General features: G+C 39.5%; 1 protein-coding gene across 5 annotated transcripts in view; it reads left to right on the forward strand.

Annotated features, from left to right (window-relative positions):
• The window catches only part of ADGRG4 (adhesion G protein-coupled receptor G4), a 115,928-nt gene that overhangs the window by 8,375 nt on the left and 84,328 nt on the right, over positions 1–23,225 (forward strand). For all 5 annotated transcript variants that reach the window (NM_153834.4, XM_011531269.3, XM_047441830.1 and 2 more), the window contains one exon: positions 13,441–14,055. In NM_153834.4, coding sequence (NP_722576.3) covers positions 13,441–14,055 — 615 coding nt within the window. The remainder of the gene's footprint in view (positions 1–13,440; positions 14,056–23,225) is intronic.

A 23,225-nucleotide genomic window follows, 5' to 3' on the forward strand; every position in this document is an offset into this window, starting at 1 on the left:
ACCCAGACCTTCCCTAGACTCTATGACAGGAATGAAAATAATTTGTCTCTATTTTACAGTAGATAATTAAGACAATTCACTGAAGTAGCTGGTAATTTGGAGACTTCAGGAGAAGGTCTTGGTAAACTGCAATCTTGTCCACATTAAGTAAATTCAGTTTGTAGCATTGCTTATTTAGCACATAAGTACTTAGCTAAAAGGTCATAAATGCCAGTGAGTGACAACGCCTGATGAAATTGACCTGTGTTTAATTTGAACGGTCCTCAAGCGTAAGAGCTAATCTGCAAAAATACCAAATCATCATTGCCATCAAGAGCAAACACTGGCTTCTTGCTGCATGCAGAGCCTGATAGGAAACCATGTTTCTTATAATAGAGATTGAAATGGGGCCTACGGGGTACAGTGGCAACTTTGTCACCTGGCCTGGCCTACCTGCTAAAAAGTTGATTTATTTTTCCTCTACCTGTTTCCTCAAGGGCAAGAAACTGTATTTTCCCAATTTCTTTATCCAAAGCATCCAACACAGGCCTTGACACACAGTTTAGGCACTTGGTTCATATGTGCTGATTTAATGAATTCATGCAATTTGAAATGATGAAAATTTTCAACATCTGTATGGTGGTGGGGTATATGACACAAACTCCATTGGTTTTTGTGAAGGGCTACAGGGCATGGTATAGAGCAATCTAGAATAGTGGAATATGGGAATCTAGTGTAGTCATGGAATAAAAAGTGAAGAGTGTGTGGTACTGAAAAGTTTGCATGGGTTTGCGAGGAATGTCACCACTCAGTGAAAATTATTATTATTGTTATTATTATTATTATTTTGAGACAGAGTCTCACTCTGTTGCCCAGGCTGGAGTGCAGTGACGCAATCTTGGCTCACTGCAACTTCTGCCTCCCAGATTCAAGCAATTCTCCTGCCTCAGCCTCCTGAGTAGCTGGGATTACAGGCGTCTGCCACCATGCCCGGCTAATTTTTATAATGGTCAGTGAAAATTATGATAGATGTGCAGGTCCTCAACCTGCAGAGGTCAATTTAAAGCAGTCACAAGGTTTTCCAGACTGTTTAAGTCTCAAATTCATGAGTCAAACAAGTTTTTTTTGTAGGTTATCAAACATTGAATTATAATTGTTCTTTGATTGCCGAGAAATTCATTACTTTTTTCTTGGAAAAAAAAGACCCTGTCCTTGGAAACAACGGCATAACTCAGGTTCAGTTCCCTTCAGGCTCCAGATGAGTCACCAGCCTCCCAACTGTGAGGGTCATTATTGGGGAGAGATTAAGGCCAGATTAAGTGGAGGGTGACTCAGAGATGCTCTAACTGGGAGGAGCCAGAGTGTGGAGCAAAACTGTCTCCATAGAAGAATATCAAGGGTTGAGAAGGAGAAGCCAAATCTGTATTAAAGTCTATGGGGTGAGAGCAGAGCCAGAAAGAAGAGATGAAGACTGAGGTCAAGAGCTGAATAGTTGCAGAATGGAGCAGGAGGTAAAAAATAAGGCATAAATGAGAGAAGAGGGCCTAGGACTTAGGCTGTATGTGGGACTCGGTTTCCTAGTTCTCTGTCTTAGTCTGCTCAGGATGCCATAACAAAATACTATAGATTGGATGATTTAAACCATGGGCATTTATTTCTCATGTTTCTGGAGGCTGAGGGTTCAAGATCAAGGTGCCAGATGATTCAATTCTTGGTGAGGGCCCTCTTCCTGGCTTGTAGACAGCTGCCTTCTCTCTGTGTCCTCGCAAGGCTGAGAGAGAGCAAGAGAGCTCTGCTTTCTTCCTCTTCTATAAGGGCACTAATCCCACCATAGGGGCTCCACCTTCATGCCCTCATGTAAACCTAATTACTTTCCAAAGGCCACACCTTCAAATACCAACACATTAGAGGTTGGGGCTTCAGCATAGGATTTTAGGGGAGGGGGAAACAAACATTCAGTCCATAACATGATTTTCCTCTTAATGGTGCTGGCTATTGGCTGTGTAATGGATATGGGTAGGTTTGGGTTGAAGACATAGGGCTATAGTAGTTGTCCTAAGGTCTTGCTCATACCATGTACACACACACACACACACACACACACACACACACACGCTCACACCCCAAGTGGAGTAGGACAGGCTTTGCTGGCTGAAAGAGTGTAACGTGTTCTGGAGCATTCTTGAGGCAGGAGGCTGGGGTTTTGTGACATTCTTGAGGTGGGAGGCTGGGTTTTTGAGGCACCTAGCCTCTACAGTCAGTAACTTTTGCTCCTGTATTGGATAGGCAATTAGTCAATCTGGGCCGGAATCAACTTTCCTGAGAAGTTGTCACATATGCAGAGACGACCTGACTAGGAATTGTTTTGACACAGGAAAGCCCCAGAGCCATGTCAGAAAATCAGTCCTTAGGCTGTAGAGACAAACTAGGCCAGGGCAGTCAGGACACAGTAGGAGTGTAGAGGTAAAGAAATTCTTCTTCTGAAAGGTGTTTGTGTAGCCAGGGTTCAGGAAAAGCCCTATCTTTTCTTTTTTTAAAAAATTTTATTTTTTAAATTGTAAATAGACACAGGATCTCGCTGTGTTGCCCGGACTGGTCTTGAACTCCTGAGCTCAAGTGGTCCTCCCACCTCAGCCTCCCAAAGTGCTGGGATTACAGGCATGTCCCACCCTGCCTGGTCTATCTTTTCTTGAGAAACTAATTCCACGAGAAAAGAGAAGTGGAGGATAAACTTTGAGCAGAAACTAAATTTCTGTATGAATTCAAGAGTTGAGCTGTCCAATATGGTAATTACTTGCAACATGTGGCTAGGTTTTAATTAATTAAAATTAAGTTAAAAATTCAGTTCTTAGTAATACAAGCCAGGTTTTAAGTGCTTAATAGCTACAGGTGGCTGGTTGCTACCATATTAGGCATTGCAGATACAGAACATTTCCATATCACAGAAGGTTTTATTAGACAGCACTGTTCTAGAAGGTTGTAGAGACTGGCATTTGAGAAAAGATATTTGTTTTAAACAGCTTTATTGGGCTGGGTGTGGTGGCTCATGCCTGTAATCCCAGCACTTTGGGAAGCCAAGGCAGGTGGATCACTTGAGCTCAGGAGTTTGAGACAGCCTTGGCAATATGGCAAAACCCCGTCTCTACTAAAAATACAAAAATGAGCTGGGCATGGTGGTATGCACCTGTAATTCCAGCTACTCGGGAGACTGAGGCACAAGAATAGCTTGAACCCAGGAAGTGGAGGTTGCAGTGAGTTAAGATCGCGTCATTGCATTCCAGCCTGGGCAACCGGAGTGAAACCCTGTCCCTAAAATAAAATAAAATAAAATAAAATAAACAGCTTTACTGAAATATAATTTACATACCATACAGTTCACCCATTTAAAGTATACAATTCAATGGTTTTCAGTATATTTAGAGTGGTGGAACCATCACTACTATCTAATTCCAGAGCATTTTTATAACCCCCAAAAGAAATACCATACTCTCCGTTCCTCCCCCAGCACTCCAGGCCTTGACAATCAGTAATCTGTTTTCTGCCTCTATGAATTTGCCTATTCTGGACGTTTCAGGTAAATGGAATCATACGATATGCAGCCTTTTGTGACTGGCTTCTTCCACTTTACACAATGTTTTCAAGGTTCATCCATGTGTAGCATGCATCAGCAGTTCATTTATTTTTATTGCTGAACAATATTCAATGGTATGGATATACCTCATATTTTTTTCCATTCACCAGTTGATGGACATTTAAATTGTTTCTACATTTTGACTATTATGAATAATGCTGTATGAACATTTGTGTACAAGTTTTGTGTGGGCATATGCTTTCATTTCTTTTGTGAATATACCTAGGAGTGCAATGGCAGAGTCAAATGTAACTTCATGATTAACATTTTGAGGAGCACGCAGACCATTTTCCAAAGAAGCTGCATCATTTTACATCCCCACTAGCAGTGTATGAAGGTTCTGATTTCTCCACATCCTCACCAACACTTGTTATTGTCTATCTTTTTGATCATAGCCATCCTATTGGAAATGAAGTGATACTCCACTGTGGTTTTGATGTGCATTTCCCTATGACTATTAAGCATTTTTTCATGTGTAAAAACAGACATTTTGTCTAACAATACTCAAAGCCTTTCACCTGGGAAATTGTGCATTCTAGACTCTGAAGCATAAGTTCTTTCTTTTTAATTTTTTCAGATACATATTTCCTTGAGTTGGCACAGGCATAGCACATTTGTCTAGCATAGGACAGATGAAAAACGCTCATATGATAGCCTGTTTGAGCTTGAGCATGTCACTTAGGAGGGTGACTGACCACCATATTCTGTCTCAGGCTAGTAAGTTGTACAAATTTCCTTCAACAGTAAAAATATTGACAGGGAATTGCATAGGCTGAAAAGTAGGTCTGAAACAGTTTTCCCCATGTTGTTCACCGCCCGGAGGTGGATGGGCTTCTAGGATCCTTGGCCTGGATTTTTGTTACCTAGGTGCTTTTGAGTTGGTCTATCAAGGTAGGGCTTATGGGAGCTGTTAGCATCACAACATAGAGATCTTAGTAGAGGGCCCTGTATTTCCACTGCCAGGTAATGATCAGTAGTCTTTCCTCTTCTGGAAATGGCTTCTCTGCACACACCATTATGCAAACTTAGGGGCTATCTTTCATTCTTCCCTTTCTCTCACTCTCCACATCTAATCCATTGAGTCTTGTTCATGCCACCACAAAAATACATCCTAAATCTGACCGTTTTCTTTTCTTTTCTTCTCTCTCTCTCTTTTTAAACCATTTTAACTGCTTCCGCCATGGGCTGAGCCACCATCATTTTCTCTTGGCTGACTTCAGTAGCCTCCTAATGTTCTCCCTGCTTTCACTCTTGCTCTGCTACAGTCTATTCTCCACACAGCAGCCAGAGTGATCCTTTAATATATCAAGTCAGATCATACCACTCTTTTACTCAAAACTTGCCAATAAGTTCCTATCAAAATTAGAATATAATTCAAACTCTTTAATGAGACCTAAAAAGCACTACATGATCTGATCTCCCACTGCCTCTTGGGCTTCACTTACTACCATGCATCCTCTTTCTCCCTCTGCTCCAGACACACTGGCTTCCTAGTATTCCGTAAACACACCAAGCACAGTCCCACCAAAAGGCCTTTGCACGTACTGTTACCCATGTCTGGGTCACTCTTATTCCACATCTTTGTACCCTGGCTCTTTTTTCATCCCTTGGGACTAAGCTAAAAATGACTCTTTCTCAGAGAGGCCTTTCTTAACTATCCTACATAATGTAGACATTTCCTTTCCCCTCATCTCTGCTTTTCCCATTACCTAACTCATCAACCTGTCAATTTCTTTCAGAGTACTGTATGTAATTTGTGTTTTTTCCTTTACTTGTTTATTGACTGCATCTGTCCCTGGAATGTAAGCTGATGAGCTCAGGGACCTTGTGTGTTATGTCTCCTCTATTACTGCACTCTAACACTGACACATAGTCAATGCTCAGTGACCATCACTGTTGAGTAAATAATTTTTTTTCAGGGAGCTTCTGGCTTTATGAGTAAGGACATCTATTTTTTTGGGTGAGACATGGGCCTTGAATCCAAGATTTGAAGGAAAAATCACATGACCTATGTGAGGATAATTCCTCTGTCTCCTATGCCAAGAACTCTTGGCAGGCCACAAATGGAGTCAGCAGCCTAGGTACTAGAGGAAGGGATGTGTTGGACAACTCTGTGGCTGGTGATTGGTGACAGAAATGAGGATCAGGGTTGGACGCTTCTATATCTGGTAGGCCTGGTTTATCTAAGGATTAGCCTGGTTACAAGACCAGTGGAAAGTGTGGGCAGTGGGTGGCAGATAGTGACTCTGATTCTCTGTGGTTGTGCACACTATGGCCATGGTGATGTGGGTAATGGAGCTCCCCAGTATCAGGTACCTATTGATTATATCTACTCAGACAGTCATGGGGCTGCTAGACCAGGGCCTGGTCTACAAAGTTTTTCAGTGCTCCAGAACGTTGAATTCCAAGGATTTGTGATTCTAAGAGCCAGAAGACTCCCTCCTCAAGTGAGTATCTGCTCACCTGCCCTTTTATGAGTGGGTAGTGACACTTCCAAGATAAGGCAGACATGGAGTAGCCTTGGTAGAACGCTCACTCTCAGAGTGGCCAGATTCTTCAAAGTATAAACACAACTGATGCCTCTGGTGGGCCCTTTTCCTCAAATCTGCTCTGCAGCCTCACCTTGCTCTCATAGGTATTACCAGGTGATTAGCTGGGTTCTGAGCCCTACACAGTGTTGAGTCAAGTTGTGTCTTCCCAGCATTCATATGTTGAAGTCCTAACCCTCAGTACCTCAGAATATGATCTTCTTTGGAAATAGAGTCATTGAAAATATAATTAGTTAAGATAAAGTCATACTGCAGTAGGGTGGGCCCCTAATCCAATATTATTGGTATCTTTATAAGAAGAAAAAGTGTGGACACACACATGCACACAGGGAGATCACCATCTAAAGATGAAGGCAGATATCGGGGTCATGTGCTTATAGGCCAAATAACACCAAATATTGCCAGAAAACCACCAGAAACTAGGAAAGAGGCATAGAACAGATTCTCTCTCACAGCTCTCAAAAGGAACCAACCCTGCTGACACCTTGACCTTGGACTTCTAGCCTCCAAAACTGTGAGATGATACATTTCTGTTGTTTAAACAACCCAGTATGTGGTATGTTGTTATGGCAGCCCTGGCAAACTAATGACACAGACACTGATGCTCTGGCAGGCTCACTGGGTTAGAATTAAAAAGAGGAAAGCAGGTTACCTCATGGAGAAGAGACAGTGACCAGATCATGCCCAGAGTACCTGACCATGGAAGAACCTCATTTGTCCTTTGCCCTGAACGTAGTGCAGGACAGTGGACCTGGAACCACAGTCCCCCAAACTTTGAAACACTTGAACATTTTAAGGAGAAACTTTGCCTTCTAAGAAAGGGTAGAAAAACCTGTATAGGATATGTCTGATGTTACTTAATGCTGTCATAAGCAGAAAACAAAGGGATTTTGCTGAAAAAAAAAAACAAACCATTCAGATTGTCTATCTCTTAGAGTTTTAAACCATTTACTCTCTGACTTTTTATTTTATTTGTTTATCTATTTTTGAGACAGAGTTTTGCTCTTGTCGCCCAGGCTGGAGTACAGTGGCGTGATCTTGGCTCACTGCAACCACTGCCTCCCGGGTTCAAGTGATTCTCCTGCCTCAGCCTCCCGAGTAGCTGGGATTAAAGGCATCTGCCACCACGCCTGGCTAATTTTTTTATTTTTAGTAGAGATGGGGTTTCGCCATGTTGGCCAGGCTGGTCTCAAACTCCTGACCTCAGGTGATCCGCCCGTCTCAGCCTCCCAAAGTGCTGGGATTACAGGCATGAGCTGCCACACCTGGCCTTACTCACTGACTTTTAAAATAAATGTATTTATTACTTTTGGGGTCTGACAGGGACAGAGAATTCTCCCTTGATCTTTTGCTAAAAGTTCCCTAAAACAGAAGGCAGAGCACGAGTTCAGTATACAGTCCAGAACTTCTCATTCTATGCCAGATGCTTCATTCCTGATACCTTTGCACAAGGGACAGCACTCCATCTGCCCACCCATTAGCCTCCAACTCAGTGCCCTAATACAGGATACAACTATTTATTCAGTAAACAGCTACAAAGGACCTACTCTGTGTCCATGAACTTGGACTTCCCCATCTCAAACTGTACATGAAAATTAACTTGAAATGGATGAAAGACTTAAATGTAAGAACTAAAACTGTAACATTCTTAGAGGAAAGCATAAGGGAGAATCTTCACGACCTTTGGTTTGGCAATGGATTCTTAGAAATGACACCAAAAGCGGCCGGGCGTGGTGTCTCACACCTGTAATCCCAGCACTTTGGGAGGCCGAGGCGGGTGGATCATGAGGTCAGGAGATCGAGACCATCCTGGCTAACATGGTGAAACCCCGTCTCTACTAAAAATACAAAAAGTTATCTGGGCATGGTGGTACATGCCTGTATTCCCAGCTACTCGGGAGGCTGAGGCAGGAGAATTGCTTGAACCCAGGAAGCGGAGGTTGCAGTGAGCCAAGATTGCACCGCTGCACTCCAGCCTGGGTGACAGAGCAAGACTCCATCTCAAAAAAAAAAAAAAAAAAAAGAAAGAAAGAAATGAAATGAAATGACACCAAAAGCATGAGCAATAAAAGAAAAGAAAAATTCGATACATTGAATTTCATTAAAATTAAAAACTTTTACACATCAAAAGACACTATCAAGAAAGTGAAAAGACAATACAGAATTGGAGAAAATATTTGCAGGTCATCTATCTGATAAGGTTCTGGTATCCAGAATTAAAAATGGGCAAAAGACTTGAATATGTATTTCTCCAAAGAGTCTATGCAAATGGCAACAAACATATTTAAAAAAATGCTCAATGTCATCAGCCATTAGGGAAATACAAATCGAAACCACAATGAGATACCACTCCATAACCTCTAGGATGACAATAATAATAGTAAATGGAAAACAACAAGTGTTGGCTAAGATGTGGAGAAATTGGAGCCCTCATACATTGCTGGTAGGAATATAAAATTGTACAGCTGCTGTGAAAAACAGTTTGGCTGTTACTCAATAAGTGAAACATAGAGTTACTATATGGCCTAGCAATTCTACTCTTACGTTTATACCCCAAATAAATAAAAACATGTGTTCAAACAAAACAAATGACATGCATGTTCATAGCAGCACTATTCATAATAGCCAAAAGAGAGAAACAATCCAAATGTCTATTAACGTGAATCAATAAACAGAATGTGATACATCCATATAATGAATCTTATTAAGCCATGGAAAAGGATGAAGTACTGACACATGGTACAACATGGATGAACATTATGCTAAATGAAAGAAGCCGACAAGAAAGGACACATATTGTCTAACTCCCTTTATATAAAATGTCCAGAACAGGCAAATCCAGAGACAAAAAGCAGATTAGTAGTTGCCAGGGGCTGGAGGGGAGGGGCAAACTGAGAGTGAGTGCTTAATGGGTACAGGGTTTCCTTTTTGGATGATGAAAATGTTCTGGAATTAGATAATGGCGATAGTTGCACAACATTATGAATATGCTAAATACCACTGAATAGTAGACTTTAAAATGGTTTAAATGGTAAATTTTATGTTATATGAAATTTCCCAGTACAAATAAAATGGTGCTTGGCACTCCTAGGGTAGTAACAGCCATTTAAGTGAGATTTATGATGAGTTTTTCCTAACACGGAAAACACTTATGCTATGAGTGAGAAAAGCAGGGGACCCAATTTTCCTTACAATATGATCTCAGCCTCACAAAAACAAGCAAAGCCTGTGCACAGAAAAAAACTGAGGAAATATACCAAAATGTTAATGGTGATTATCTCTGAGTGGTGGGACTCTCTGGCTGGCTTTGTTTTCATCTTTTTACTTGCTAATACTTTTCAGTTTTTCTTTAAGAAAACATGTACAGTATCACTTTTATAATGGAAAAAACACCTTAAAAACAGTAAGGAAGACAATAAATGTCATTTAAAATAAAAGGAAACAGTGGATAGAGGCGAAGAGACACAGAGGAGCCAAATCAAGAGAGAACACGCTTCAGGGGAGCAATCATGCAATTTGGACTTGAAAATTGCCAGGGAACAGATGGCAGCATCTAAGCAGACATCTGCAATGGATAGCGAAATCATATGCAAAGACACAAGTGGCCTTTGAAGCAGGCCCTTGAGAGGCGCGGCAGAGAACGCTACTTGCCTGGCCAAACATAAGGGCAAAGCCCCTCTCCACCTTGTCACAGTCTGGCCTCCTCAGAGCCCTGCTGGAGGCCCAGAGGCTGCGGTGGGGCTCAGCTCAGTTGGGCTTCCATGTGTGAGGGTGCAAAAGAGGCTGTGGAGGAAGGAAGAGGCTTCTGATAGTGACCCTGGCAAACATGGCAGCTGACATTTACATGGGGTTGCACAGTTTATAAACATTCTCACACACATAACCTAAATGTTAGTTATGATTGCATCATCTTTTATCATGGCCCTATGAGGTAGGCAGTTATTATTTCCATCTTACTGTGGAAGAACGAGGCATGGAGAAGTGATATGAGCTATTTATTTAACTTTTATATAGTGTTCTCTATGTGCCAGACACTGTGCTGAGAGCTTTCACAGGCATCTGTTGCCTATGTTCACACAGCTAGTAAGAGACAGAACTGGGACTCAAATTTGGCTTTTTAGACTTCACTATACCACATTTCTGCTTATGTCTAAGCAGAATTTACCTATATCTTCAGAATCTTAAGTAAGGCCACAGTGATTCTATCTATCTATCTATCTATCTATCTATCTATCTATCTATCTATCTATCTATCATCTATCTATTATCTATTATTTATCTGTCTACCTATCCATTCATCCATACATCTCTCCATCCATTCATCTATCTATCCATCCACCCATCCATCTTTATTTTTCTGATTATAGGTGTAATACATGATTGTTTAAAACATGCAAATATGCTGAAATAAGTAACATAGGAAGTAAAACATTTCCCTAATCTCACACCTAAAGATAATCATTCTTAACTGTTTAATATGTGCTCTTCCACACTTTTTTCTGTGGGCATACTACCTGCATATTTTTCTTTTAGTTTTTAATAGGATAATACTGCACCTGCACTTAATATAACTCCTATTTCACACAATAGTAAGCCTTGAAAAACTCTCCATGACTATAGAGGCCTATCTTGTTTGTTTCCCTATTCCATTGTATAGAGGTAGCAATTTTCCTAAATAGTCACTTATTGATAGACATACAGGTTCGTCAATTGTTCTTGATTATAAACAATGTGGCAATAAATATCATTGTACTCTCATCTTTGTCTATCTGTATATTTGTCTAAAATGAATTGATAGAAATGAAATTGCTGGGTCAAAGGATACACACAATTATATACAATTAAGATTGCCATAGATAATGGCAAATTGCCCTTCAGAAAAATAATACTTAATTGGCACTCCCACTAGCAGCGTGTAAGAGTGACTCATTTCCCCACAGGCTTGCCAAAGCTGGATATTCTGTCTTCTAAAATTCTATCAACCAAGTAGGCAAAAATGGTGTCTCCTTATTGTTTTAATTTGTGCTTAGAAATAGTAAGGTGGCATCTTTCTATAGTATTGGCCTTTATATTTCTGCTTTTGTAAATTGCTTTTTCCCATCTTTTGGCAACTGGTTTTAAATTAGTATACTGCAGGCTGGGCATGATGTCTCACACTTGTAATCCCAGCACTTTGGGAGACTGAGGTGGGAGGATTGCTTGAGCCTAGGAGTCTGAGACCAGACCAGCCTAGGCAACATAGTGAGATATCATCTCTAAAAAGAATTAAAAAATTTGCCAGGCATGGTGGCATGCGCCTGTGGTTCCAGCTAATTGGAAGGCTGAGGTGGGAGGATTGCTTGAGCCCGGGAGGTCAAGGCTGCAGTGAACCATGTTCATGCCACTGCACTCCAACCTGGGCAAGAGAGTGAGACCCCCCCTCTTAAAACAAAAAATCAAAAACTAAATTAGTATACTGCAGAGAGGAGAGGCCCTTGTAGACCATATGAGATTATGATACATTCTCTTTTAAGGTGCAACTAGGCCCTGGAGATTTATGCTCACCGTAAAACCAGTTCTTAAATGTATCTGACATCATTTCAGAGGGCTGAACAGAAAGGCAGTTAACCAACAATAATTGAGACTTGGGTTTCATATCACTTATTGTCTTGTGGGATTAACTCTTGATTTATTAGCCACACAAAAGATGATAAAGTAATATAATCACAGAAGCCAGGGACAGAAGTAAGCATTTTCTCATTCATCAATGGATAGTTCAGAAATAACTCCCCGGCAGGTGGATAGTATGAGTTCCTGCACATGGGAGTGTGTGATGCAGGTGGAATGTATATGAGTGTGTGTGGGGGGCAGGCATATACATGTTATTGTTTGCTTTTGGAAAATGTCCACTAGAGGAATGGAGGGAGAGAATACTATATGGTCAGAGAATATCTGGAAGCTTTCATTTGGCGGCATCTCCCAGAAGCAGGGAAGTATTTACTTCCTGCTAGCCTCTGTAGTGTTCTGTTATGGCTGTCACTGTTTTAGAGTGGTGGTCCCAACGTTACAACTGTAATTCAGGGAGTGGTTACAGTTCCAATTCTGCCACAGAGCTCTTTATCTTCTGGCTTAGGCTGTACTGGCACTGGAATTAGGTTGATAATTAGGTAATCCTCAGATATTTACCTAGTAGACTGGGGGTGTAAGATTTGTAGTGGTGATAGTATCATCACTCATCTGCAGCTTCTTGTGAAACAAAGGGCATATCCAATGTAAAGTTTCAAAGATACTGCCGAACTACTTACCAAAAGACCGCACCCAATGGACATGTCCTTCAGCAATGTTTAACAAGGTTTTGCATACATCATCTCACTTAATCTTCAAATAATCTTGTAAAGTCATCAGGGAGAGGCTATTATCTGGCATAGACTATAATGTGAATGGTGGCCCTTAAAGTTGAACGGGCATACAATGCTGTGGCCCCAAATCTCCATTTTACTGAAGCAAACATTGAGGTATCAGGAGGGTAAGTTACTTGCTCAAAGTTCCACAGCTGATGAGTGTCAGGGCATGGATTTCAACCCAGGCTGTCTGACTCCAGAGCCAATGGTAACTGGGGTCTATGGCCATCTTGAAACCACTGCAGTGCCCTTGGTGAGGAGACAGAAGGAGGCCATCAGGATGCACCCAGGGCAGTGCCATGTCTTCCATTCCTGAGTACAAACAAGTCCCAGAGTTTCAGTATCGCCCAGCTGGTCATTCTTCAGGCCTCTGTCAGTGCCTTTCAGTGAGAAGCAGTCCCCAGAGACAGAATAAATCAGATCATTTGGCTCAGGAAAAGGCATTGGAGAAACAAATTGCTGTTGCACCATGAATGTAATAAGGCAGTTAGGTGGGCGGAAATAGTTCTCTTTTGATTATATGAGTGAGGATTATGTGTAGCAAATTTGAATTCCAAGCTGCCTTTTCCTTGGCCTCTTCCCTACCCTTTCACTAGCCATACACTTCTAACTGCCTCTCCAAGCTGTCCAGCTGGTATGTGCTCTGGGAACACTAATCTAACTTTTCATATTAGTCCAGGCAAAATATAATTAGGAAGAAACTCTTCTGCCAAAACAAAAATCACATGCTAATGTCAAATAGAGATGATTTTTTACATCTACTATTTTTGTTTATTTGCACCAGTATTGACTCATAATTATATTGTATAACCCAGATTTGACTGTATTGCCAAATACAATAAAACAATTTTTAACAGAAATTTCATTTGTTTTCTCTTTCCCCTCCCCCAAATTTGGACAGATACACTTTCACTAAAAGGAAAAAAGCTGGATTTTTTTGGAAGAGGTGACACATATGTAAGCCTGATAGATACCATTCCTGAACTCAGCCGATTCACAGCATGCATTGATCTGGTATTCATGGATGACAACTCAAGGTATTGGATGGCCTTCTCTTATATTACTAATAACGCCCTCCTGGGCAGAGAAGACATAGACCTTGGACTTGCAGGAGACCATCAGCAGCTAATACTATACAGATTGGGAAAGACCTTTTCTATCCGTCACCACCTGGCTTCATTTCAATGGCATACAATATGCTTGATATGGGATGGTGTGAAGGGCAAATTAGAACTCTTCCTGAATAAAGAAAGGATACTGGAAGTAACGGATCAACCACACAACCTGACACCTCATGGGACTCTGTTCCTAGGGCACTTTCTCAAGAATGAGAGCAGCGAGGTTAAAAGCATGATGCGTAGCTTTCCTGGCAGCTTGTACTACTTTCAACTCTGGGACCACATCCTGGAAAACGAAGAGTTTATGAAGTGTTTAGATGGAAATATAGTTAGTTGGGAAGAAGACGTCTGGCTTGTCAACAAGATCATCCCAACTGTTGACAGGACACTGCGCTGCTGTGAGTAACTTAACAACTTTTTTCCTTAGCAAGGGTAGTGTTGACACAGTACTTCTCTGCTAGCAGTGGCCCCAGGTTGCTAGTTTTGTCATCACTTTTTAATGAGGAGCACATACTGTTTTCTTTTATCTTTATTTTGATATGATTTCAAACTTATAGAAAGATTGGAAGAATAGGATAGAAGAACACACACACACACACACACACACACACACACACACACCACTTATTTGTTTCTAAGTCATTTGAGAGTAAGTTGCAGGCATAATTCTTTGCTACCCCTAAATATCTCAGTGTGTATTTCCTAAGAATGAGGAATTCTCTTAACCAGGCTATAATGATCAAAATCAGAAAAGTTGATGTTGATACAATACTAACATCTAATTCACATTTCACATTCATATTTAGCCAATTATCCTAGTAATTTCCCTTATAACTATTTTTTGCTTGGCCCAGGATCCAACTCAGGATCACACATTACATTTAGTTGTCATGTCTCTTTAGACTAATTTGGAATAGATTCTCAGCCTTTCTTTGTCTTTCATGACCTAGACATTTTTAGCATACAGTCCAGTTACTTTGTCTCTCAATTTATGTTTGTCTAATATTTCCTCATAATTAGATTCAGGCTATGAATTTTTGGTAAGAATACCACAGAAATGATGTTATATTCTTCTCAGTTCATCACATCAGTAGACACACGGTGACAATTTGTCTCATTATTCATAATAACTTTGATCACTTGATTTTGGTGATGTCTGTCAGATTTCTCCACCATAAAGTTATTATTTTTTCCTTTGTAATTGTTGAGTAATTTCTGGGGAGATATTTGGAGGTTATGTAACTATCCCCTTCTTACCATACTTTCACCCAATAGGTTTTACATCTATTCATGATTCTTGCCTGATTCACTAATCACTATGATGTTTGCAAAATAATGATGTTTAAAATTCCATTTTTTTACATTTATTAGTTGGCATTCTATTGTAAGAAAGAGCTTTTTCTTCTTCCATATTTATGTGTTTATTTATTTAAGACACAGGGTCTCACTCTAGCCAAGGCTAGAGTGAAGTGGCATGATCATAGCTCACTGTAACCTCTAACTTCTGGGTGGGCTCAAGTGGTTTTCCTGCCTCATCCTCCCAAAGTGCTGGGATAACAGGTGTAAGCCACCACACCCAACCTTATTTATGTGTTTATTTATTTGAACATGAACTCATGGATTCTCATTTTATTCAATGGGTTACAATCTGCTACTATCATTTATTTTGATGTTCAAATTGGCCCAGGGTTGGTCAGTGAGAGTTTTTCAATCTGGCTCTTGTGTCCTTTTGACAAGTTCCCCATCATTCTTTGAGCATTTTCTTACTCTCTGGCACAACAAGATGTTCCAGGCTCTTCTTGTACGTTTTCTGCTCAGCCCAAGGAGCAGTCATTTTACTAAGGCGTCCCTCTTCCTTTTAGTGGGGAATGATATTTATAAACCAATTCATTTTTTCTTCTGAGAGCAATTATGATATGGGAGAACTCTTTGGAATGGAGTTCTTGTAAGGAACCTGGCTTCTTGGAATTACACCTGTATTTGTCTCCTCTCGAGTTTGGGGAAGGAAAGATGAGATTGCTTTTCTCTGCATAATCCCACTCTGCTCTCAAATCCAGTCCTCTCCACTATCAGCAGCAGCAGTCTTTAGCACAGGTAGTCAGTGATAATAGCATCAAGACAAGATTTTTTTGCATTTCCCAAAACTTTCACTTATTCTTGAAGGAGTATTATTGACTGTTGTTATGGGTTTTTTCCTTCCAGGAGGAAGCTGTTAGGAAAGGAATAGGGGCTAGATCCATGCCTAAAAGGGCTCTCTCAGACTAAGGGGATATGTTTTCACCAACAGTCTGGATGCTGTTTGAGTTAACTGCAGAGGAACATTCCAGGGGATTTCTGTTTCTTTGAGATTAGACCAATGCAAAGGAGCAGGAAAGCTATTCCTTTGTGCTACCACCCAAAGATATTTGTTTTTTCTCTTTTCTGGGGCCTTAAAAACAAAAGAGAATATTCCTAGCTGGCTCTGATTACAAAACTGAGCTACAGACTAGTAGGTTAAGCCTGAACAGCTCACCCAAAGCAGTTTAAAGTAACTTTATCTTTGATCTAAGGAACCGGAAGTATGGCCTTATATCCATGTGCTCAGCAGTGGTGTTTTAAAACCACATCTGGCCAGCGAATGGCCATGAGTTTTCCTACCACTTTGTGGGTAGATAGCTAAATCTAACTGCTGTGTTAAAGTACTAGACAACCCTGTTTTATTTTGCTCTTTTGTACACTTTTTTTTTTTTTTTTTGAGATGGAGTCTCGCTGCGACACCCAGGCTGGAGTGCCATGGTGCCATCTCATCTCACTGCAACTTCTGCTTCCCGGGTTCAAGCGATTCTCCTACCTCAGCCTCCCGAGTAGCTGGGACTACAGGCACATGCCACCATGTCTGGCTAATTTTTGTATTTTTAGTAGAGACAGGGTTTCACCATATTGGCCAGGCTGGTCTCGAACTCCTGACCTCAAGTGGTCTGCCTGCCTCGCCCTCCCAGAGTGTTGGGATTACAGGCGTGAGCCAATGCACCCGGCCTCTTTCATACACTTTTTAATGGACGACCATCCTCTGGGTCTGACTGAATCATGGTGGGCATAATGCACAATCTAACGTAACAAACAAGGAAATTATCACCTCAAACAAACAAAAAAAGGTAGTAAATGTTCTCTCTACTATTCAGATCTCTTCAAGTGTTCTTTCCAAACCTTGGACCAAGAGTTCCTAATCTAGGGGCCAGAATGGCCTTGAAGGAGTTGACAAAGCCCCCGAAATCACAACACCCTAAAAATACAGGGCAGATTTTTTTTCAGAGGGTGCAGTCTATAGTTTCCATCACATGCTAACATATTATGGTAATTGGTGCCTTTTACTAAGTTCTTACCGTGTGCCAGGCATTTTATACAAAAGGAAATAGGGGCTCAGAGAGGTTGAGTAAATTGCCTAATGTCACCAATCAAATAAGTAGTGTAGCTGGGGTTTGAACAGATTGGTCTGGTTGCAAAACACATGTTCTTTTCACCTCCCACCGTACAGGACTATCTCAAGTGAGTCTGTGGCCCCCAAAATGTTATGCTATGTTACTATGTCTTAGAAGCTTCCTTTGGAGGTAATGGCTGGTTTGATAATTCACCTGGGGAAATTAGGCTACTAGCTGTAGTCATTGCCTGCCTCACCACTGAAGGATCTGTAAAATACCATAGAATTTCACCTATTTCGATTTTGGCTGTATGGTATCTGGGACAAAGGGGGCAATATATGAATAAATATGAGTGATTACAACATGTCTAGCTTCAGCTTTTGCCTAATAAATTGATATTTATGGTCCATAGAAGGATTATGACCTTTAAAAAATAAATTTTAATGAGTACATTGCTAGGTTACAAATCTCAATAAATCTATTTACACATAAATTATATATATATTTATATATTCATGAGAACAAGGCTTTTGGGGAACACTGCCTGAAAAACATGAACCCTACCTGGGTTTAATAAACAAGTATTCACTATAGTTGGAAATGTCTTGGAATATTAAACAACATGGTGACAAATAATAACAGTGAAATTTCTAGTCATTAGAAATTTAGTTTTCAAGTAGTTTTAAGCATCTTCTACTTATTTTTAAAAATTACAAATGTAATACATGTGTTTGTGAATAAAATATATTTAAACAATACAAAATCATATGAAATATCAAGTAAAACCTACCCTTCACTATCCTCTTCACAGAGGTGTCTGTTAAAAAATTTTTTCCATGGGTTTGTAATAAGTGTGTGCATGTATGTGCATGAGTGTGTACAGTTTTTAAAAAGGGATGGCACTGGGAGATATACCTAGTGTTAGATGACGGGTTGATGGGTGTAGCACACCAACATGGCCCATGTATGCATGTGTAACAGACCTGCAAGTTGTGCACATGTACCCTGGAACTTAAAGTATAATAAAATAACATAAAATAAAATAAAATAAAAAGGACAGAGTGGGAAATAAAATAATAATAATAATAATAATAATAATATATACATACATGTGGTTCTGCAACTTGATTTATTTTAACTTAATACTATCATGGACAGACACATAGGTATATTTAGATCTGTTTTTAGGGCTACATATATTCCATGCAACATAATTTACATGTAACATAATTTATTTAACTAGCCCATCATTGATGGCCATTTAAGTTGCTTTCAATTTTTTGCAATTACAAATAATGCTACAGTAAATTTCCTCATACATATATCTTGGTACGTTTAGGTTTTCAATTTTGTAAGACACGTTCCTAAGGGTAGAATTTCTCAGTAAAAGCCTATAAGCTGTTACAATTTAAATAGATTTATCATTTTTACTAGTTATTTTATTAATGTAACTATTCATTGAAAATTAATTGACCTCTAAAAGTAAAATTACTAGATATATATGGTAAAAGATTTAAAAATACATAAAAGTATAAATCTAAAGTCTCCTTTCACTTCAATCTTTTACTCTATGTGTCTATCCCCAAAAGCAATGATTGTTAATAATTTCTTATATATCCTTGCGGAAAAAATGTAAAACTTGAATTTACATGTAAATATATTTTTTTTCTTTTTCACAGTTGGGTTCATCATTATATGCATCCTTTTCTGCATCTTTTAAAAATTTAATAATATTTTTGGAGGCATTTTCATATCAGAAAATATAGAGCTATCTGATTCTTTTGGGGGGAGGCTGCTGAATAGTATGAAAGAAAAAGGGTATGGTATAATTTATTCAACAAGCTCTGTTTGAAGGACTTTGAAGTTGTTTCTAGTTTCTAGCTATGACAAAAGTCTACAGGGCTTTTAAAAGTAATGGGTGGTGACAGAAATATCTTGAAGCAACCGTAAAGAAATTATCACAAGCTAAAGTTCCTCTCAAGATATGGCCAGCATAATTTCCTAATCTCAACTCAGACACATGATCAAACAAAGGAATTTTTTTTGACCTGTGAATGTATGAAGAAAAAGAGTCTTCCAAAGACATGCAGATTAAATTCCTTTTAGATCTGCATTTAAGAAATCCTTTCTATTGAAAAGAATGAAATAACCTGAACTGAGTTCATCATGGGAAATCTACACTGTATCAAAGCATAGCATCCCTATATCTGCGGGGTCATTGATTTGCTGAGGTTCGTTAATTGGTCTAATGCTCCAGCTTCTTTGAATTAGTTTATGAATTGACTATTCTTAAAATATGCAGAGATGGATTATATGGTCTATGTCCTTTATAAAGGCCTTTGTTTGGCTCACTATTAATTCCTCTATCCAATTATCAGCTCTGATAGGAAAAGTTCCATGGTGATGGGCTCTACTAGCTAAAAGACAATTTGGTCTTGCCCTCATACATCAATTCTCTGTGCTACCCTCCTTCCTCATCACGAAAAGTAAGCATGAGCTGTTTGTAGTTCACTCAAAGCCTTCTTATTTGTATTCTCCTTCACAGGATGACATTCTCCTATAGACTCAGAGATAGAAGCTCTAGCCTGTCTGTCTATTGCAGCATTCGTTTTTCATGCTTTTGCCTGGAAACTGAATGCAGACACCACTTTGAAAAAAAAAAGTTTCCTTTTCACCTTAAAGATACTCATTTCATATTTTTCTACCCCACAGGCAGATCTGTCTGTGGCAGTTTCTGGTCACCATTATCTCTCACAAATCTAATCAACATGCTGAATTATATTTATAGAGGTCCTGACTGAAAGAAAAACCAGATGTGACATGTGGGCTAGAACGACACATAGATTTAATATGAGGTGATATACCCAAATCACAACCAGAATTTGGTACCTTAGAAAATGTTCTACTTAACATTCTGTTGGCAGGTACATCTGCAACAAAATGCCTCATAAATATTCAGCTACTCTATACCTCTGTTCTCCAGCTCCCAATGATTACAATAATACAATTTTGTGTAGAGTGAAAGAGCAAATGGCAATTAAGCCCACAGACCCCTGTGAATTAGTATGGATTATCTCCACTTTAAAATACAGAGACAGCAAGGCTTATGCAAATTATTTGTGCAAGTGATCACTTGTTCACAAACAGGAACAAAGTGAATATGGCAAATCATGTTTGTGAGCCCTCCAAGGATGGAGGCCTGACCTCATGGCTTCTGTCCAATGTGAATAGATGGATATTCAGTCATTGCTCAAGCACAGTACTGGCTTTTGCATTTGATTTTTTTTTTTTTTTTGAGATAAGGTCTCACTCTGTCGCCCAGGATGTAGTGCAGTGGTGCAATCAGAGCTCCTCACTGCAGCCTTGACCTCCTGGGCTCAAACCATCCCCCTGCTTCAGCCACCCCACCCCGAGTAGCTAGGACTACAGATGTGTACCACCACACCTGGCTAATTTTAATTTATTTTTTATTATTTTATTTTATTTTATTTTTTGGTAGAGACGGGGTCTTGCTATGTTGCCTAGGCTGGTCATTTACTTTTTATTAACTGAATTTTTTATTGAGAGATAATTGTAGATTCACATGCAGTTGGAAATTCTTGTACACTTTGTCTAGTTTCCTCTAATGGTGACATTTTGCAAAGCTATAGTATAACAAACAGAACATTGACATTGATACAACCCACCAATCTTACTCAGGTTTCTCTAGTTTTTATTATATTCATTTATGTCTGTGTATTAAGTTCTATACAATTTTATCACCTGGGCAAACTTGTGTATCTACCAGCATACTGATGCTGAACAGTTCTAATACTAGTAGGATCCCTCATGTTGACCTTTTATAACCACACCAACTTCCTTCCCACCCTTTCCCCCTACGCTGCTTCATACCTAACCCCTGACAACACTAATCTGTTCCCCATTTCTAAAATTGTGTCATTTCAACAATATTATATAAATGGAATCACACATTATGTAAACTTTTAGGATTACCTTTTTTTTTTTTTTAACTCAGCATAATTCTCTGAAGAGCCATCCGGGTTGTTGAGTGTCTCAATAGTTTACTCATTTCCATTGCTGAGTAGTATTCCATGGTATGGATATGTTACAGTTTATTCAATTATTCACCTGTTGAAAGACATTTGGGCTGATTTCAATTTTTTGCTGTTATAAAAAAAATCCCTGCTATGGACATCTGTGTACAGGTTTTTTTTGTGAACATAAGTTTTTATTTCTCTGGGAAAAATGCCTTGGCTTGGCTGTATGGAAGTTGCATGTTTAGTTTTTTTCTTAATTTAAAAAATAATTAAATTTCTGTGGGTACATATTAGGTGTACATATTTGTGTAGTATATGAGATGTTTTGATACAGGCATGGAATGTGAAATAATCATATCATGGTACCCATCCCCTCAAGTATTTATCCTTTGTGTTATAAACAATCCAATTATACTCATTTAGTTATTTTTAAATGAACAATTAAGTTATTATTGAGTATAGTCACCCTGCTGTGCAATCTAATAGTAGGTCTTAATAGTAGGTCTTATTCTTTCTAACTTTTTTTTGTTCACATTAATCCCCTCCTTCCCCTCCCCCAAGTCCCCCTCTACCCTTCCCAGCCTCTGGTAACCATCCTTCTACTCTTTATATCCATGAGTTCAATTGTTTTGATTTTTGTAGCCCACAAACAAATGAGAACATGCGATGTTTGTTTTTCTGTGCTTAGCTTATTTCACTTAACATAATGACTCCCCGTTCCATCCATGTTGTTGCAAATGACTGGATCTCATTTTTTTGTGGCTGAATAGTACTCCGTTGTGTATATGTACCACATATTCTTTATCTGTTCATCTGTTGATGGACACTTAGGTTGCTTCCAAATCTTAGCTATTGTGAACAGTGCTGCAATAAATATGTGAGTGCAGATATCTCTTTGAAATACTTATTCCCTCTCTTTTGGGTATACACCCAGCAATGGGATTGCTGGATCATATGGTAGCTCTATTTTTAGTTTTTTAGGAACCTCCAAACTGTTTGCACATTTAGCTTTATAAGAAACTGTCAGACTGTTTACAAACTGTCAGACTGTTTTACAAAACTGTTTTTCAGTTTTACAAAGTAGCTCTATCACTTTATATTCCACCAGCAATGTATAAGGGATCTAGTTTCTCAGCATCTTTGCCAGCATTTGGTGTTGCCACTATTTTTCATTGTAGTCATTCTTGTAAATTTGTAGTGATATTTTATTGTGCTTTCAATTTGCATTACCCTGATGCTTCATGATGTTGAACATCTTTTCCTGTGCTTATGTGCCGTCTTCCTGTGTTCATCAGTGAAATGTCTGTTCATGTGTTTTGCCCTTTTTTAAAAACTGGGTTGTTTGTTCATTTTATTGTTGAGTTTTGAAAGTAAAAAAATATATTCTAATTTTTTTTTTTTTTTTGAGGCGGAGTCCGGCTCTGTCACCCAGGCTGGAATGCAGTGGTGCGATCTCGGCTCACTGCAAGCTCCGCCTCCCGGGGTCACACCATTCTCCTGCCTCAGCCTCCCAAGTAGCTGGGACTACAGGCGCCCACCAACACGCCCGACTAATTTTTTGTATTTTTTTTTAATTTTTATTTTTTTTATTATACTTTAAGTTTTAGGGTACATGTGCACATTGTGCAGGTTAGTTACATATGTATACATGTGCCATGCTGATGCGCTGCACACACTAACTCGTCATCTAGCATTAGGTATATCTCCCGATGCTATCCCTCCCCCCTCCCACCACCCCACAACAGTCCCCAGAGTGTGATATTCCCCTTCCTGTGTCCATGTGATCTCATTGTTCAGTTCCCACCTATGAGTGAGAACATGCGGTGTTTGGTTTTTTGTTCTTGCGATAGTTTACTGAGAATGATGATTTCCAATTTCATCCATGTCCCTACAAAGGACATGAACTCATCATTTTTTATGGCTGCATAGTATTCCATGGTGTATATGTGCCACATTTTCTTAATCCAGTCTATCGTTGTTGGACATTTGGGTTGGTTCCAAGTCTTTGCTATTGTGAATAATGCCGCAATAAACATACGTGTGCATGTGTCTTTATAGCAGCATGATTTATAGTCCTTTGGGTATATACCCAGTAATGGGATGGCTGGGTCAAATGGTATTTCCAGTTCTAGA

The sequence above is a fragment of the Homo sapiens genome, chromosome X (assembly GCF_000001405.40).
Source record: "Homo sapiens chromosome X, GRCh38.p14 Primary Assembly".
In the NCBI taxonomy this organism is placed as follows: domain Eukaryota; kingdom Metazoa; phylum Chordata; class Mammalia; order Primates; family Hominidae; genus Homo; species Homo sapiens.